We start from the raw sequence: 16,957 nt of genomic DNA on the forward strand, positions 1-16,957 counted from the left end.
ATTCATATTTGATTTTATTTCTTGGCTGGGCACAGGGAAGTGAAAACTCTGTAAAAATCCTAGAGTTGTTTTCAATTGTATTATTCACATTAACTACAGACATTTACCAAGTTGCCTCCGTGTACAGTAATAAAAAGCCTGTAATATGTATTCTAAAAATTATCCCAACATGCATCTAGGAATGATCAAATTTCTCTCATCCCATCATCAGCTTTTTGCTTTCCCCAATGCTCTTAGGAAAAGTCACTATAAAAAGTCTCCTCCTGCAGCGTGGACAACATAATAAGTCCCCATCTCTATAAAAATTTTAACAAAGTAGCCAGGCATGGTGGCCTGTGCCTGTAGTCCCAGCTACTCAAGACACTGAGGTGGGAGGACTGCTCGATCTCTGAGTCCAGGAGTTTGAGGCTTCAGTGAGATATGAACAAGCTACCACACTCCAGCCTGGGTGACAGAGTGAGACTCTGTCTCTTAAAAAAAAAAGTCTCCTCCTGACACTAATCCTTGGTCAGTAGACAGAAGAACTCTGTGCTTGGGAGAAAAGCACAAAATACCATCTGATCATACAGATCATACTCTTGCTAGCCACACACTGCGATTTATTTCTCTCTCTTTTCTCACAACCCACAACCAATCTGTTAAGAAATCCTATTGGCTCTACTGTCAAAATTTACTCAGAATCCTACCACTTCTCATCATTTCCTCTACCACCACCCTGCTTGGAGTCACCAGCATCTCTCACCTGTATGATGGCAATGGCTCTCAGACTCTGCACACTACCCCTGAATGACCACCTATTCTCAACATGGCAGCCAGAAAGATCACTGTCAGATGATCACGCCAGCCCTCATTCTGTTGCTTATAGTCCTGCAGTGGCTCCCAATCTCACTCCAAGTGAAAAGCTAATATCCTCAAAATGGCCTCCGAGGTTCTTCACAATCAATGAGGCCCCCTCTCCTCCTACTCCCCTCACTTATCTGTTCCAGCCACACTGGTTTCTCTCCCCTCCCCAGATATGCCAGGCTTATGCCCACCTCATGGCCTTTGCTCCAGTTTTTCCCTCAGCTAAGTGTGTTTTTCAAAAATGCCTATGAATTTTACCTTGGCTTTGCTGGTCTTGTTTAGATTAGAAACTTGATCAATCAATTGCTGGACAGAGTCAGAACTGACTTTTCCATCTTCCAAACGATGAAAGATTAATCGAGGTTTTCCTTCAGGGTTTTTCAGAAAAGCTTCTTCACAGTCTTCCAATAAAAGGCTAGATTGGAAATCAGCATTTTGTGTGCTATACTGCATTGTGGCAGCAAGCAGTTAGTTAATCAACCTAAGTGCCAATAATGGAGTTTTACTACAGTGACAAGTGGCCAGAAAAGGTCCAACTGCACAACAAGTGAAGCTTTCCAAAAATGGATGTGTTATGGCTCTCTTCCAGTTTGGTCTTAAAATATAATACATTCATTAGCCAACAGTGAGCATAAATATAATAAATTATGCATTAAATTGTAAAGCACATAAAACTTTATTTTTTAAACCTAAAAAAGATCTCAAAAATACTCTTAAACTTGGCTCAAAATAATGGACTAGACTCATGAGACTTTGAAAATAGATGGCAAACAAAATTCCATTTAAAAATGTATAATTTCCATGTTAACACAAGTAGGCAGGAGGTCATGCGTGGGTAGGTACACAGGCACCATCCAGGGCAACAGCCAGGCTCCTGCACTGCTTTTCCAGGAGTTCTTTTTAATGCCTTTAATTTGACCCGCCTCCCTTCATGGCTGAATCACAGGAGAAATCTCTTACAATGAAACATAGGAGCTAAAATATGGCATGTCCAGGAGAGGCCTTTATTCCAGATAAAGGTTTCAAAATGAGGAATTCTTTGCTCTTGATTGGCCCTCCTTCATTATGTCAGCACCCTTCTTGGGCAGACCAGGCTCACTAAGAATTCTTGAACCTATGTAGAAGGAGAGGTGCTTCTCTGTTTGGATGGCAGCCCCAAAGTTTTGAGAGTTTTCTCTTTCCCAGTTCTTTCAGACTTTTCTCATCTAATAAATGACCCTAATCCTTATACCCAATATATACTACAGGAAAGATCTGGAGACAGATTGGAAGAGGTTGGGTGACTGAGGTGAAGGTAAAAAAAATCCCAAAAAACAACTTTGTTATAGGGAACCAAAATTATATTTTTAATGAAAATTCTAGAAAAAAAAGTCCTAGAACTAATAATCTGCTGAGGTCTTCTCTCTCCCTCCCTTCTTTCTTTCTCTCCCTTTTTTTTTTTTTTTTTTTTTTTTTTTTGAGACAGGGTCTCACTCTGTCACCCAGCCTGGTGTGCAGTGGTGCAATCACAGCTCACCGCAGCTTTAACCTCCTGGGCTCAAGCGATCCTCCCACCTCAGCCTACCGAGTAGCTAGGCCCACAGGCACACGCCACCACACCCAGCTAATTTTTGTATTTTTTGTAGAGATGGGGTTTCACCATGTTGCCCAGGCAAGTCTTGAATTCCTGGGCTCAAGTGATCCTCTCACCTTGGCCTCCCAAAGTGCTGGGATTATAGGCATGAGCCACTGAGTGCAGCCCACATCTACTGGGGTTTTCTACACAACAAAGGACACTGCGACCAATTCCCCTTTCTAGAAAGCATTAAATGAAAGTTGTCTAGGGAAACAAATGTTTTTGTGGGGGGTGTGTGTGTGTGTATGTGTAGAAGGGCGATATTGTATGATTCAGAATCTGCAAATTAGACTACTAGCCCAAAATATTAAAAATTAAGAAACATTCTGTTGTATATTTCTGCGCCAATCCATTCTACCCAAACCACAGAAGTTTTCTATATTAAAATCACTCTGGCCATGTTCTATCGAATTTTGGAATTTCAATGATTCATCTGTCAGTGCTTTGTGGGAAAAGTCTGTGGCCCATTAGAAGACCAAACAATGGGCTTGCTGTTCAGGCACACGTCCATATTTCAAGGCATTCCCTACAAAACTGACCCATGGGGCTCAGATAAAATGGTATGATCTCTGGTATTTTATTCAAATAATCTGGTGGAACGGAAGCAGATGCTACAGATGAAACAACGAGTCATGAGGTGATAATTGCTGAAGTTAGATAGTATAACAGGCCAGCTAATATGTTGATAAGTTGCACTTTAGGATCCCTTCAGAAAGTAGCCTGAGCAGACAAAAATGTAGGGGAGGAGCTGCAAGAGAAGATGTAGCTTTGTGGGGCTGGAGGAGTTAAAACAGTAAAGCTGAGGCATAATGAAGAAAGTTCAAGTATAGAACAAACAAGGGCTTCCACTTGCCTAAATTCTATAACGAAACTCTATAGGTGATCTGGTAAAAAAAAAAAAAAAGCTGAATGAAACCAATAATAGGGCCTAAGAAGTCCTGAAAGGTGACTGAATTACTATTTAGGCACGGAAGCCTCCCCATCCCTTGAGAAAGACTGATGATGCCCTGAGGAAAACCAGTCACAGTCGCCCCTCTGTGCTGCTGTGCAAAGGGAGAGGCACCTCTCCTTCTACGTAGGTTCAAGCTTTCTTAGTGAGTCTGGTCTGCCCAACAAGGGTGCTGATGTAATGAAAGAGGGCCAATCATGAGCAAAGAATTCCTCATTTTTAAACCTTTATCTGGAATATTCCTACTCAGCCAGCCTCTCCCGGACTCACCCTATTTCAGTTCCCATTCTTCGTTGTAGGAGATTTCTCCCGGGATTTTTCTCCTTCCATGAAGTGAGGCTGGTCAAATTAAAGGCATTAAAGAAGAACCCCTGGAAAAGCAGTGCAGGAGCCTGGCCGTTTCCCTCTAATGCACCTTCTCCAGTCAGTAACACCGAGAGGCACAGTGCCTGTGCACCTCACTAAGCATGACTTCCTGCCTACCTTCCCAGCCTACAACTAAGTATGTTGTTAGCATAGCTTGCTCCAAATCCAATCATTTCATACATCAAAACCATACATTTTGAGCTTCATAATTTCTTATAAGAGGCCTGAATAGTGTGAGAAGCCAGTGAACACTATCTTCAAATAACTCTGTGGATACCATCTGCACACAGGGAATAATTATTGACAGGAAAGTGTTTCCCCATGGAGCTTCCAAGCTGCTCAGGAGAGGCTTTTCTAGATTCATCTTTTGGGAAGGATGGGGTAGTCATCAGGGTAGGCGAAGGAAAAATCTGAAACAAAGGCTCCAACAGCCCTTGTTTGTGGTGTGGAGCCCATCCCCACTGCCATACCTCTTGACAGGCATGAAAGAAACAAATAATAAAATAATAAGCAACTGGAATAAGAAAAGTTTAAGTAAAATAAAGCCAAAGTAGAGACTAAAATTATTAAATTTAAGAAATTAAAATCCTCATTTCTTTAATAAGAATAAAATTTTTAAAAATGTACAATATAAAATTTTACTAAAAGGGGATAAACTGAAATCTAAGCAAAAGTAATAAAATATGAAATAAATGGGGAGGAAAACATTAAGAAGAGTTTAAAATTGGAAAAGAAAAATAAATGTTAAAGTGTAAGAATAATGTATACAATGTTTTATTAAAAAGTAAGGTTTTTGTTTGTTTGTTTTTGAGACAGGGTCATACTCTGTCACCCAGAAAGTTTCTTTAATGTAAAGAAAAAACAAAATGGTTTTATGGATCAAAGATAAGAATTAGAAAAAATAATGTAACAACAAATAACATATTACCAAGTAAGATAAAAAAACTACTCAATCATTAAGTAATAAGATAAGATATATCCTTAATAAATATAAAAACAGGGAAAGAAAAGGGAAGGGGTGGATAGCAATGAAACCCTACTGAAGGCAATCAAGTTGAAGAACTCCTTAAACATATTCTGGATGAAGGCTCATTGACCAGGTAGTTCCCTGTTCACCCGGCCACTAGGCAAAGTCTTAAGGGTCTACAATGGGTTATGCTACAGGGAAACTGGTGAAACTTAAGGCCTTACATATATCTATACACAGTTAAAGTCAGAGTTGGTCCACAATTAAAAAAGCAAAATGCTTTGGAAAGGTTAAATTTAGACAGTAAATCTAGAAAGAAAAATTAGCCTCTTATTAAACTTATTTTGTCCTTTATCTCTATATCTAACTGGTGAAAAAAAATCTTTACTTGCAGACAAGATTCATTAGCATGATTATATTCACATTATAAGAACATTGTTCACTTTACTGGGTCTATTTAAATAGTAAGCTCCTCAAAAAATGTAAATTATGATTCAACACCTACACAAGTGATCAAGTACATGAACTTTATATGTAAAATACATAGTTCAAATACCTCTCAGTTTGTATCCAAAGAAAGAAAAGAATGAAGGTTAATGTTGATTATTGAAATTAGGGGTTATCAACTTTTTCTGTAAAAGGCCAGATAGTAAACAACTCAGGTTTTGTAGGACACATGGTTTCTGTTGTAAAGATTCAACTTTGCTATTATAGTATGAAGGCAGCTGTAGAAAATACACGAATGGGCCAGGTGTGTTGGCCTACGCCTGTAATCCCAGCACTTTGGGAGGCCAAGGCAGGGGGATCACAAGGTTAGGAGATTGAGACCATCCTGGCTAGCACAGTGAAACCCCATCTCTACCAAAAATACAAAAAATTAGCCAGGCGTGGTGGTGGGCGCCTATAGTCCCAGCTACTCAGGAGGCTGAGGCAGGAGAATGGTGTGAACCTGGGAGGTGGAGCTTGCAGTGAGCCGAGATTGCGCCACTGCACTCCAGCCTGGACGACAGAGCAAGACTCTGTCTCAAAAAAAAAAGAAAAAAAAATTTATATATATATGAATGAATGAATGTGGCTGTGTTCCAATAAAACTTTATTTACAAAAGCAAACTCCTGGCTAGATTTGGCCCTTGGGCTATATTTGCCAAACTCTGATTAAAATAAGCTAAAAATTAAGGTGTTGATCATATGACCTATGAAACAAGTCTAACAGCTTAAAACTTTTAATTATTTTATTTAAGTGTGAAACAGTTGTAGAATTTATTGAATTTCATGGATTTTTTTATTATAAGGATGCAATAAAATTTATCTTTGAAGCTTATTTGGCAAACTCAATTCTATTTACAGTTTACTGCTTATAATAAATTACATTTTTTTTCAGCTTACCTTGGTAATGTTAAGTGAATAAATAAAATAACTAAAGAACTTTTCTCAATTTCCCATTTTCTTACAGTGAGGTATTGATTTTCAACATCTATTGGAAAATAAACAGCATGGAAAAAATATCCCATTGTCTCGCACATTCTCTTAAGTTTAGGTGAATAGTCCTAAAAACAAATGAAAACATACAAAAGTTTAATGTATTTAACTAAAGATCAAGTGAGATTCATACTACTTAAAATAAAAAGCACGCTTTAAAACAGGTTATACTGGATATCTTTTCATATAAAATTTTAAAAATAATCACATTTTAAAGAAAATCTTAAAAAGGCAAGTTTCTCTCAAATACAAATAATAATAGCTTAGCAACTTGGCCTTTTTCTAGCTCAGAAAATGACTTATTTCATAGTAAAGCTAGAACAACAGGAGACAGTATTAGGCTATTTTGCTTTGGTATTTGTTTCTTTTTGTTATTATTACTATGAACAATCTGTTTTATTGTCATAAAGAGTGCAAAATATAGATCCATAAATCTGTATAGTAAAAAACATCCACGATGATATATCAGAACGCTAAAGCAGAGCGATATAAGTTAAAAACACATAAATCTATAATTAAGTTAGTAAGTAATGATGACTATTATTATGAAAGAAATCAGTAATGCCCTCAAAATGTCGTTGGGAATAACATTTTCAATTACTGGATGGAAGCTTTGGGCTTTAAAATATTTTATCTTTTTACTAAAATTGAATAATATCACAAAGGAAAGCTAAATGAATTTGGTAATCAACAACAGGGAAGATGTTAATATAGCAGGTATAGCATGTGACACACAGATTCTATAAAATTCCCTTGGAACACTGGTAGGCAAGCTTTTTATATAAAGGGTTAGATAGCAAATATGTCTACAAAAATAATAATAGCTTTACAACTTGGCTGCTTTAGCAGGGATCTTTGTGGCTTATTTGGTTTCTATCACAATTTACTCTGCCATTGAATTGGTGTTGTAGTGCTGCCATGGATGATACGTAAACGAATGAGTGCAGCAATGTTCTAATAAAACTTGATAGACACTAAGATTTGTATTTCATATAATTTCCACATGTCATAAAATATTATTCTCCTTTTGATTTTTTTCTACCACTTAAAATGTGAAAACCAATCTTATCTCTGGGCCATTTAAAACAGGCAGCAGGCCAGATTTCACCAACTGGCTATAGTGACCCTTGCCTTAGAATAACTCCAACGGCTGCCTTGGAAAATTTAAACCACAGTAAGGAGAAAATTTTACTACCTGAGACAGACTCAAGGATAGAGCTGGAAGAGAGAGTAACTAAAGTAGACACAATCAACAAGAGTCTTAAACATTGTGGAGAATATGCAATGAAAAATTCACTAAACAAGCCTAGGCAACACAATGAGTCACTTTCTCTGCAAAAAAAAAAAATAAATAAATTAAATTAGCCGTATGTGGTGGTGTGTACCTGTAGTCCTAGCTGTTCTGGAGGACTGAGTGGGAAGATTGCTTGAGCTCACGAGTTTTAGGCTACAGTGAGCTATGACTGTGCCACTGCCCTCCAGCCCAGGCAACAGAGCAAGACACTGTCTCAAAACAAGCAAACAAACACACAAACAAAAAAAAGTCCAGAAAGTTCCAACACCTTAGTTTGACATTTAAAACTAACTAAAACGAGTTAAAACCTTCTTTTTCTGTCTTAGCTCCTGTCCTAGGAAAGTTAATTCCAGAAAGTAAAAATAAATAAATAAACTCTCAATTCACCACCTTTCTTTACATATAATATTGAACAATATTTTCTCTTAAGAAAAGCCCAAGACGCTTCCTGTTCTTTAAGACATATAATCTAGTAGGAAACTATTTGGTTGAGATACAGTAGTATCAGAAACAGAATATAATATTAACTTATATTTTAAATTGGTTGATACAGAATTTATAAATATCCTCACCTTAAGGAAAAGATCCATCTCAGGCTGGGTTTCATCTGTATAAATGAGGTAACATCTGACAGTGTTACTCCACAGAGAATGTGAAAACAGAGGAGTAACTTGTAATAAACTAGCTACAGCAATATCCCAGTCATCTGAAAATAAAATTTCTCAAGTTCATGAAAAAATTACCAGAACACATTTGATCATTCTAAAAAAGTTTTAAAAACATAACAGGCATCATAGAATGGAATCTGATCTTACATGTTAATACTGCCATACCTTCTAGAGTAATATATTCAAAGGCAATTAGTTTTCTAAACTCAAATTCTATCCTAGGACTTGAAGCAATGAATGTCACCAGTGGTCTTCCCTGAGGCACCAGTGGTTCCAGTCAAGTGTCATGAAAAAATTTTACATGAGTTACTCAATTAGTTGGTTACCTGAAGTTAGCCTACATTCCCAAGAGGATTTATAGCTTTACTTTCTTATTATTCTTGAAATATATTGAGTTAAAAGAATGTTCAAGAATGGCATAAAATGAAAAGTAGCCTTATGCTAACTATATTTAGTGAGAGTAAAAATTTAACACATATTTGGCTAGTTCAAAAAGCACAATTTTAAAAATGATTTTCATTTTGCTGATAGAGAAATAATTGTAGGGTTTTAAGGAAAAAGAGTAGAACTACTTATAACTTCTTAGGTCTGCACTGATATTGAAATTCTGAACAGATCTTAGAGCTATTCTGGACACTATGTTATATAAAAATAAGGAAAATATTCTTTTGGATATGAATACAGTTGTCCCTTGGTATCAATGGAGGATTGGTACCAGCACTTCCCCTCACATACCAAATCCACAGATGCTCAGGTCCCTTACATAAAATCATGTGGTGTTTGCATATAAATTACGCACATCCTCCCATATTCTTTAAATCAAGCTTCTCCAATCTGTGGCCCAGGATGGCTTTGCAGCCCAACACAACATTGTAAGACTTCTTATCAATTTTTTTTAGCTCATCAACTATCATTAGTGTTAGTATATTTTATTTGTGGCCAAAGACAATTCTTCTTTCAATGTGGGCCAGGGAAGCTAAAAGATTGGATACCCCTGCTTTAAATAATCTCTAGTTATTTACAATACCTCATGCAATGTAAATACTATATAAATAGTTGTTATACTGTATTGTTTCTTATTTCTATTTTTATTGTTGCATTGTTATTTTCATTGTTATTTTTCCAAATATTTTTGATCAGTGGTTGAGTGGATCTGTGGATATAGAAGGAAAACTGTACTATATTACCTAATAGAGCTTTTTGGTATTATCTCCATAACCTGCTCTAATCTTCAACACTATCAAAGAAGCAGAGGGAAAGATTAAAACCTACTGTTTTTCAATTAATCTACATTAGATTTGCTGCTCAACTAAAACACCAGAGAATTCAGACCATAACACAGTTACTAGAACCTGGCTGGCCAGGTTGGCAGGAGTACCATCTGATCACCATATGAATTATGCAACCTCATCCTTCCTTGTTAGTTACAGCCCCACTGTATGATGGTTTGTCAATGGAAAGCACTAGGAACACAAATTTCATGCTTTGCTAATGGTATTAATAGTTCCAGCACAAGATTATAAAACATGAACAGTCACTACCACTAGGCAAGTAATTGACAAACAGCATGTATTACCTCTATTAACATTTGCAAAGGGTCCTTCCACATCTATAGAACTATGGGCAAACTCAGGGCCTCTGAAGGACTGCTGAAGCTGGATCATGCTTCCTATGGAAGGTTCACTTCCCAAGGCTCCGCCAGTCCAATATTCACATTGGGTTCCAGCAGCTGTTCAGCAAGAGATTTTTATCTTGTGAAAGCCAACTTATTGAATGTTCAAAAACTCATCACATATACCGAACAGGATTGCTGATTTTAAAAAATATGAAAATATTACAAATATTCAAATGATTTTGAAAATACTTTGCCATCGACTTTTGGCAAAGTTCAAAGATACTGATTAACATAATTCTGGTTATCATCTCAAATTCAAAGAGAGGATTAAAAAGAGAAAGATGAAAATAAACAAGAATACAATAAAAAAGAAATCATAATAAGAAGGAAGTTAAAAACATTTTACAAAAAAAAATTCTAAAAAACATTTCCAACTGTACAGCTTAGACACCAGTTAAAATCTGAAGGAAAAAACCTCAAAGGCAGACTGTTACTAACACACATAAATATAAAAATATTCATAATTTATTAGGACATAAACTCTTTGCAGCAGGAAGTACCTCCTTCTCAACCTCCTAGAGCAACAAAATTAATGTCTGAATCAATAGCTACTTATGAACATGATGATTTTCTAATCAATTATATTTGTCAGAATATCTACATCCTTGATAACCTTAAGTAAATGGTTATTTGAGCTAAATCTCTGGCAAAACTGAGCTTACTATTTGTAGCTCTTTGAATCTCACATGGGTGACATTCCCCCTCAAGTGTTCCTTCTTCATGTTTAAAACAAAAATGAAAAAAGACCTAGAAAGGAATTTGTTTCTAACTTGCCAAGACAATTACAATAGTTTTGAAACACTGTACATTTGAGTATGTCAATACTGAAATAATCACTAAGACTTGTGTTGGGGTATAAAAGAGCATTTTCTCAGCTACTCTTGGCCATTAAGAATCTTTTTTTTTTTTTTTTTTTTTTTTTGAGATGAGTCTGGCTCTGTTGCCACACTGGAGTGCGGTGGCGCGATCTTGGCTCACTGCAACCTCCACCTCCTGGGTTCAAGTGATTTTCCTGCCTCAGCCTCCCGAGTAGCTGGGACTACAGGCACGCACCACCATGCCCAGCTAATTTTTGTATTTAGTAGAGACGGGGTTTCACCATGTTGGCCAGGATGGTCTTGATCTTTTGACCTCGTGATCCGCCCGCCTTGGCCTCCCAAAGTGCTGGTATTACAGGCATAAGCCACCGTGCCCGGCCTTCATTTTTTTTCCTTAAAAGTTAGCAATAAAAATTCCAGGATGTTGGTCAGATTCCAATGATACTACAATGAAAATTAAGAAGGAACTGTCAGTTACCATATTTTACTCCAAAATGCATCCATTTGTGAGAATATACTTACAGTTCATTACAAATGGGAGAGTGACTACATTTTTCCACTGCATTTTAAAATAGAATATTTTTCTTTTTTCAGTATCAATCACACTTTAACATTTTCTTAGAATATGTAAACCCTTTCACTCTGTGATTTCAAGCTTTTATTTCCAGAAAACATGTTTCATTTGTTTAATTATAAAACAAATACTTTTTGAATAGTTCACAAGGCTATACTGGAAACCACTCAGTGAACTATAAGGCAAGTATTCTAAATGATAGTTGCAAAGAATACATCATTATGTAAAGAAATAACATTGCAGAGACTAGTAACTCCAATATCCATTCTCCTCTTCTTTCTTCAGTAACAGAACACTACATTTTAGTTGGACACATGTCTGCCTGGCTGCTGATTACACTATCCAGTCTTCCCAGTTATAGTTCTGACTAATGGGATTTGAGAAGTGATCTTAGGTTGTACCTTCTGGGAAAGGAACGTGTTCTCCCCTTCCTTCTTTCCCTTGGCTAAAATGCAGATGTGCTGGTGGGAGCTGGGGTAGATATCTTAGACTAGAGAGTAAAAGTTATGGGTTAGGGTTGGCAGAGTGACAAGGTAGAAGGAACTTCAGTCCCCAAATTCATACACTTCGTGGAGAAGAGGTGTCTTAGCAGCTGACAGAGAGAACACACGACACTATTTGCAACAGTAGTTAAAGCAATAACCTAATATAGATAAGTAAAAGAAATCTAGCAGAATTCAAAGTTGGCTCTACATGTCATTACAGCCATGTTGAAAGCTCAAAATATAAATAGGATATACACTTACCAGTGACATCTGTACAGTTGTCATCTGAATCAGACTCCCCAGGATCAAATACTTGGATACCCTGAGCCTGTAGCCTCTGAAGTTTGCTCTCCAACTCCCTCTTGGCCCTCAGTAAGTCCTGAATTTCATTTTCTTTGGTCTCCCTAAAAATCTTTAAAAAGAATAATTTTAATGTTGAAAGCTTTTTCATAATCAAAAAGTTGTGTCATCAACTTTAAGGGAAAAATATTTCATTCATAAAACCAATATTCATTTGGTCCTCGATTTCCTCTTTCATAGGGTGAATGTCCTAGTACCTTTACCTTACTGTTTTGCAACTGGAAGCCACTGGAATTCCAGCAGGATGCGTGTCTGTGGTGTGGGTCTGTCATGTGCACTGCATGATGTTTAGGAAATTTGTCTCTCTCCCACTAAATACCAATAATACAACATCCCTAAACATTTCCAAATGCTTTTCCCCATATGGAAACGCTTTCCTTTTTTTCGAAATTACTATTAAAATGTTCACTTTCATACGTTTTTCTTTGAAATGATCTCAAGTTTACCACGTCCAACTCAAAAATGTGAAAGTGCTCTACACTAATTCTTACAACTTTCCTGAATCCTACATGACTTACTTCTATTTATTCATCGCATTATATATTATATATACTTTTAGAATATACTATTTTATTCTATGTTGCTTTGGGGGTAAAAATGTAAGGAATTTACCTTGAATTGCCTTTTAACTTTATCTCTGTCATGTTCAAATGTTGCTGCTCTCTCCATTGCTTGGTATTTCGCTTCTAAAGCACTTTCTTTTTCTCGAAGTATCTTCTGATACGTTTTTTGAAGTGCCTAGAATAATTTACCTTGTTATTTCCTAACAAAAATAGTCTTGCTCCTCAATTTTACATTCTTATATATATACATATATATATATATATGTTACGTATCTTAGAATTTTAAGTCTACTTATTATTTTACCAATTATCAGGAACTTCATGTTGCCATTTTATTCAAAACATGATGGAAAAAAACCGCAACCATGCTTGAACTACCACAAATAAAGACCAACATTAAGCTTTCAATGGAAATTAACTTTTTTTGAAACACTGCATCAGCTCTTAAACTTCCTTATGCCTTTTCCATCTTTGTGATAGTAAAAATTACATTTTGTAAGGCTTAACTTGAAGGATAAGTAGTTCTAAGAGACTGTGTGCCTGTTGGCACTATGTCTTATTCATCTCACCATCCCTTGAGCACTTCACAGTGCCTGGTACACTGCAAGTCTCCAGTAAATGTCTGACACAATGAATGAAATAAATATGGATAAGTTTTTTCATGCCTCGATATGTGAGAAAGGAACCAGTATGTTTCACAGGGAATCAGGATTGGTGACATGAGTGACTGTGACACTTGCCAACCCTTATTGCACTCCGCCCTGTTTGGTTTGGCCTTTTCTACCCCCACCTCACAGTTGTTTCCAACGTGCGGTGTCTGTTGGGCAGTGGCTTGGATACATTGAATCAGATATTTGAAATGCACTAGTCCATTTTATACATGCAAGTGCATTAAGGTTGCCCAGTAGGAAAACTGATAAGACAACAGATAAACTGCTACACGGACTTCTTCCCAGACAACGACAATAATTACACAACAGCTAATGAGGGAGTTTAAAAACAAAAACAACAACAACAACAACAACAAAACCTGACTAGAAGAATGTCTAGTCTTGAAGACAGGAGGCTTTTTTTCTTTTAGAAAAATCAGTCTGAGGTATTTATTTCACCCCGACTGTAACGACTCCGGGAACTCTTAGGCTGCCTATAAGTCTCTCCCACAGTAAAGAGTACACAAACGACACAACAACGACCAGAGGGGCCCCAAACTGAGGGCAAAAAGTTTTAGAGATTCGTTCACAGAAAAGCAACCTCTTGCTTTATACTATTTTTTTTTTTTTGATACGGAGTCTCGCTCTGTCACCCAAGCTGGAGTGCAATGGTGCAATCTCGGCTCACTGCAACCTCCGCCTCCCGGGTTCAAGCAATTCTCTTGCCTCAGCCTCCTGAGTAGCTGGGATTACAGGCGCGTGCCACCATGCCCGGCTAATTTTTGTATTTTTAGTAGAGACGGGGTTTCACCATGTTGGCCAGGCTGATCTCGAACTCCTGACCTCAGGTGATCCGTCCGCCTAGGCCTCGAAAAGTGTTGGGATTACAGGCGTGAGCCACCACGCCCGGCTGCTTTACATACTATTTTATTGAATTATAATGGACCTGCTACATGGAGGGCATGCAATAATTGCTTTTAGCGTAAATTAATCAAATGGACTAGGGAAATTTGACTACATCTAGAGAAGGTTTTCAACCATGGTGAGATCAGGAGGCTTCCAGAAATTTTCATGTCAAGACCATTAAAATGCAAGAGCGATGAAACTTTACAAAGAAACCGACACTTGAGCCCCACTTTGGAGACCCACTTAAAATTTTTATGGTGGGGAGGGGGGTGAAACTCCTAGGAAGAGTTTGCTGAGTTGCTTCAACAGATGTCACCAGCCTTCTGAGGGGGTGGGCGCGGGGGCGGCAGTGGAGCTGGAGATTGGCATTTGCCTCCTCAGGACACTTTCCGGCTAATTTCTTCTAGGTGCCTCAATGAATAAACCAGAAATAGAAAAGCGGGGACCAGGCGCGGTGGCTCACTCCTGTAATCCCAGAACTTTAGGAGGCCGAGGCGGGAGGATCATTGAGCCCAGGAGTTCCAGGTTGCAGTGAGCCGCGATCGTGCCACCGCAGCGAGACCCTGTCTCCAAAAAAAGAGACAGAAAAAGGGGAGGGTTAAGGAATCATTTCAGACTCGAAGAGAATATGGCCTCTCAAATTAAAATGGGCAGTTTCCGCCGAACTTTCAAAGCCGCTTGGTTTGGAGAGGGAGCAGGACGGCCGTGCTTCCCAAGGGTCTCCCGGCGTCGCGGCCCAGCCCGGCGTTACCTGCAGTTCGGCCCGCAGCCGCTTGTTCTCCGTGTCCAGCTTGGCCTCGCGGCGGCCCATGGACAACAACTCCTGGTTCTTGCTGACGCGAAAGATCTCGTACTCCTTCCTGAGCCGCTCGTACTCGGCCGCCGCGTACTCCAGCTCTGGCACCGACGAGCCAGTGGACTTGAAGCTGGCCCCCAGCAGCCCGCCCGCGCCCACCCCGCGGGGCAGCGACCCGGGCCCGGCCCCTGCTGCCGCCCCCGCGCCTCGGCGGAACGAGTTGCGCAGCAGGCGGGCCTTGGGCTTCACCTCCACCGGGATCTCGCAGGCCTCGCCGCCGCCCGCCCCGTACGTGTCCTCGATCACTTCCCCGCCCGCGGGGCTCACGAGCGACGAGGCGGTCCCCATGGCGTCCGTTGCCGCTACTACCTAGTGAGTACCAGCAGGACTGGGCAGCGGAACGGAACGGGACGGGGTGGGGCAGAGGAACGGAACGGGACGGGGCGGGGCAGAGGAACGGAACGGGACGGGGCGGGCCAGCGGGATGGAGCGGGGCCGGAGAGCAGGACTGGGCGGAGCAGCGGGACGGGGCGGAGCAGCGGAACGGGGCGAGGCGGGGGAGCGGGATGGGGCGGGGAAACAGGAGGGGCGGGGCAGCAGAACTGGGCGGGGCGGGGGTGCAGGACGGGGCGGGGGAGCAGGACGGGGCGGGGCAGCGGAACGGGGCGGGGCGGGGCCGGAGAGCCGGACGAGGCGAGGCAGCGGAACGGGGCGGGGAGGGAGAGCGGAAGGGGGTGGGGCAACTGGAGGGGCGGGGCAGCGGAACGGGACGGGGCAGCGGAACTGGGGGGATGGGCGAGGGGGACGGGGCGGGGCAGCAGGGCTAGGCGGGACAACAAGAGGGGCCGGGCAAGTGGGGCGGGGCATGTGGGCGGGGCAGGGCAAACGGGGGTGGGTCGAGAAAGCACACAGGGCCAGGCGGGCTAGCAAGAAGGGCGGGGCTAGCAGGAAGGATGGGGGGAGTGGCGACTGTGCAGGACCAGCAGTGGACCGGACGCTGGTGGAGGGGTGCTCCGAACGCTGGTGGAGTGGTGCTCCGACATAGGGCTTCTCTCCGTTGTCTCCGCCCGGCTCGAGGCTCCCTGGCGGGCGTGCCTCACAGGGAGCACAGGCCTGGGTCCCAGCTGCTCTACAAACGCTGCAGCTATTTCTTTCGCTGCCGCCGTGCCTGACCGGAAACTCCTTTCTGGAAGCAGTTGGGAAATCTGAAAAATTTATGGAGTGCCTGCTATGTGCTTCCCGCGATATCTCTCTCTCAGTATGCATGTAGATAGAATGACCAGCAAGGAATAATGCCAGCAAAGAAAGAGCTTTTAGATTTTACAGTCTGAAACCACCAGGGACAATCCTTAGACAAGGTTAAGTTTTTTAACTCATTGCGGCATGGGACATTGGAGACCGCACACCAGTCTCTCCTTCATTCCCTCCATCAAAGTGGCTAGTCATCTCTTCTCTTACCCTTTAGATTTTCTTCAGGAAGTAGTCATACTAGGCCTTTGCATTCTTCAAAATCCAGAGTGTATATACTAATTTCTTCAGGTGGTCTCCTGAGATAAAGGGAAATATTTCCACCATCACAGTACCTTAAGAACTTTCTACCTTTTCAAATCCGTTCTGATTTCTAACTTCAAATTTTTGAATTCTCCATGTGGATCAGGGGTTTAAGGATCATCCACTAGGTTTCTGACTAAACCCTTTGAACATTTTTGCATCTTAGTACCTCCTTTGGAATGGGCCTCAGCTGAACACTTCCATAACTATGCTTGAGTAAGAAGATAAAATAGCCATCACCCATTCTCTCCAACAAATAACCAAACTCACTATGCTAACTTCCTACAGCTTGGGGAGTACATTCAGATTCTACAGTCTGGAACTGAGTGCTCTGAAGCATGCATCTCTCCTTTCCCCACGTCATTTCTATCCAGTGACATGCCTCTAATCCACATTTC

General features: G+C 40.4%; 1 protein-coding gene and 2 long non-coding RNA genes across 4 annotated transcripts in view, besides 3 other annotated features; 1 reads left to right on the forward strand and 2 right to left on the reverse strand.

The window, feature by feature from the left end:
• NPHP3 (nephrocystin 3) overlaps positions 1-15,410 on the reverse strand; it is a 41,801-nt gene extending 26,391 nt beyond the window's left edge. The window contains exons 1-7 of the mRNA NM_153240.5: positions 14,964-15,410; positions 12,706-12,831; positions 11,995-12,145; positions 9,758-9,910; positions 8,086-8,219; positions 6,127-6,287; positions 1,102-1,258 (exon numbers count right to left, since the gene is read on the reverse strand). Of these exons, the coding sequence (NP_694972.3) occupies positions 1,102-1,258; positions 6,127-6,287; positions 8,086-8,219; positions 9,758-9,910; positions 11,995-12,145; positions 12,706-12,831; positions 14,964-15,356 (1,275 nt within the window). The 5' untranslated portion in view covers positions 15,357-15,410. The remainder of the gene's footprint in view (positions 1-1,101; positions 1,259-6,126; positions 6,288-8,085; positions 8,220-9,757; positions 9,911-11,994; positions 12,146-12,705; positions 12,832-14,963) is intronic.
• NPHP3-ACAD11 (NPHP3-ACAD11 readthrough (NMD candidate)) overlaps positions 1-15,460 on the reverse strand; it is a 164,322-nt gene extending 148,862 nt beyond the window's left edge. Inside the window, exons 1-7 of the long non-coding RNA NR_037804.1 lie at positions 14,964-15,460; positions 12,706-12,831; positions 11,995-12,145; positions 9,758-9,910; positions 8,086-8,219; positions 6,127-6,287; positions 1,102-1,258 (exon numbers count right to left, since the gene is read on the reverse strand). This is a non-coding gene — a long non-coding RNA (NPHP3-ACAD11 readthrough (NMD candidate)). The remainder of the gene's footprint in view (positions 1-1,101; positions 1,259-6,126; positions 6,288-8,085; positions 8,220-9,757; positions 9,911-11,994; positions 12,146-12,705; positions 12,832-14,963) is intronic.
• NPHP3-AS1 (NPHP3 antisense RNA 1) overlaps positions 14,751-16,957 on the forward strand; it is a 152,462-nt gene continuing 150,255 nt past the window's right edge. For both annotated transcript variants that reach the window (NR_002811.2, NR_152743.1), the window contains exon 1: positions 14,751-15,380. This is a non-coding gene — a long non-coding RNA (NPHP3 antisense RNA 1). The remainder of the gene's footprint in view (positions 15,381-16,957) is intronic.
• Positions 15,067-15,316: a silencer, noted in NCBI's record as "silent region_14743". NCBI's record gives its function as "represses an Ori minimal core promoter by ATAC-STARR-seq in GM12878 lymphoblastoid cells {active_cell/tissue: GM12878}" and the evidence as "EXISTENCE:reporter gene assay evidence [ECO:0000049][PMID:35858748]".
• Positions 15,417-15,926: a silencer, noted in NCBI's record as "silent region_14744". NCBI's record gives its function as "represses an Ori minimal core promoter by ATAC-STARR-seq in GM12878 lymphoblastoid cells {active_cell/tissue: GM12878}" and the evidence as "EXISTENCE:reporter gene assay evidence [ECO:0000049][PMID:35858748]".
• Positions 16,167-16,356: an enhancer, noted in NCBI's record as "active region_20540". NCBI's record gives its function as "activates an Ori minimal core promoter by ATAC-STARR-seq in GM12878 lymphoblastoid cells {active_cell/tissue: GM12878}" and the evidence as "EXISTENCE:reporter gene assay evidence [ECO:0000049][PMID:35858748]".

Source organism: Homo sapiens, chromosome 3 (genome assembly GCF_000001405.40).
Source record: "Homo sapiens chromosome 3, GRCh38.p14 Primary Assembly".
NCBI classification, from domain to species: domain Eukaryota; kingdom Metazoa; phylum Chordata; class Mammalia; order Primates; family Hominidae; genus Homo; species Homo sapiens.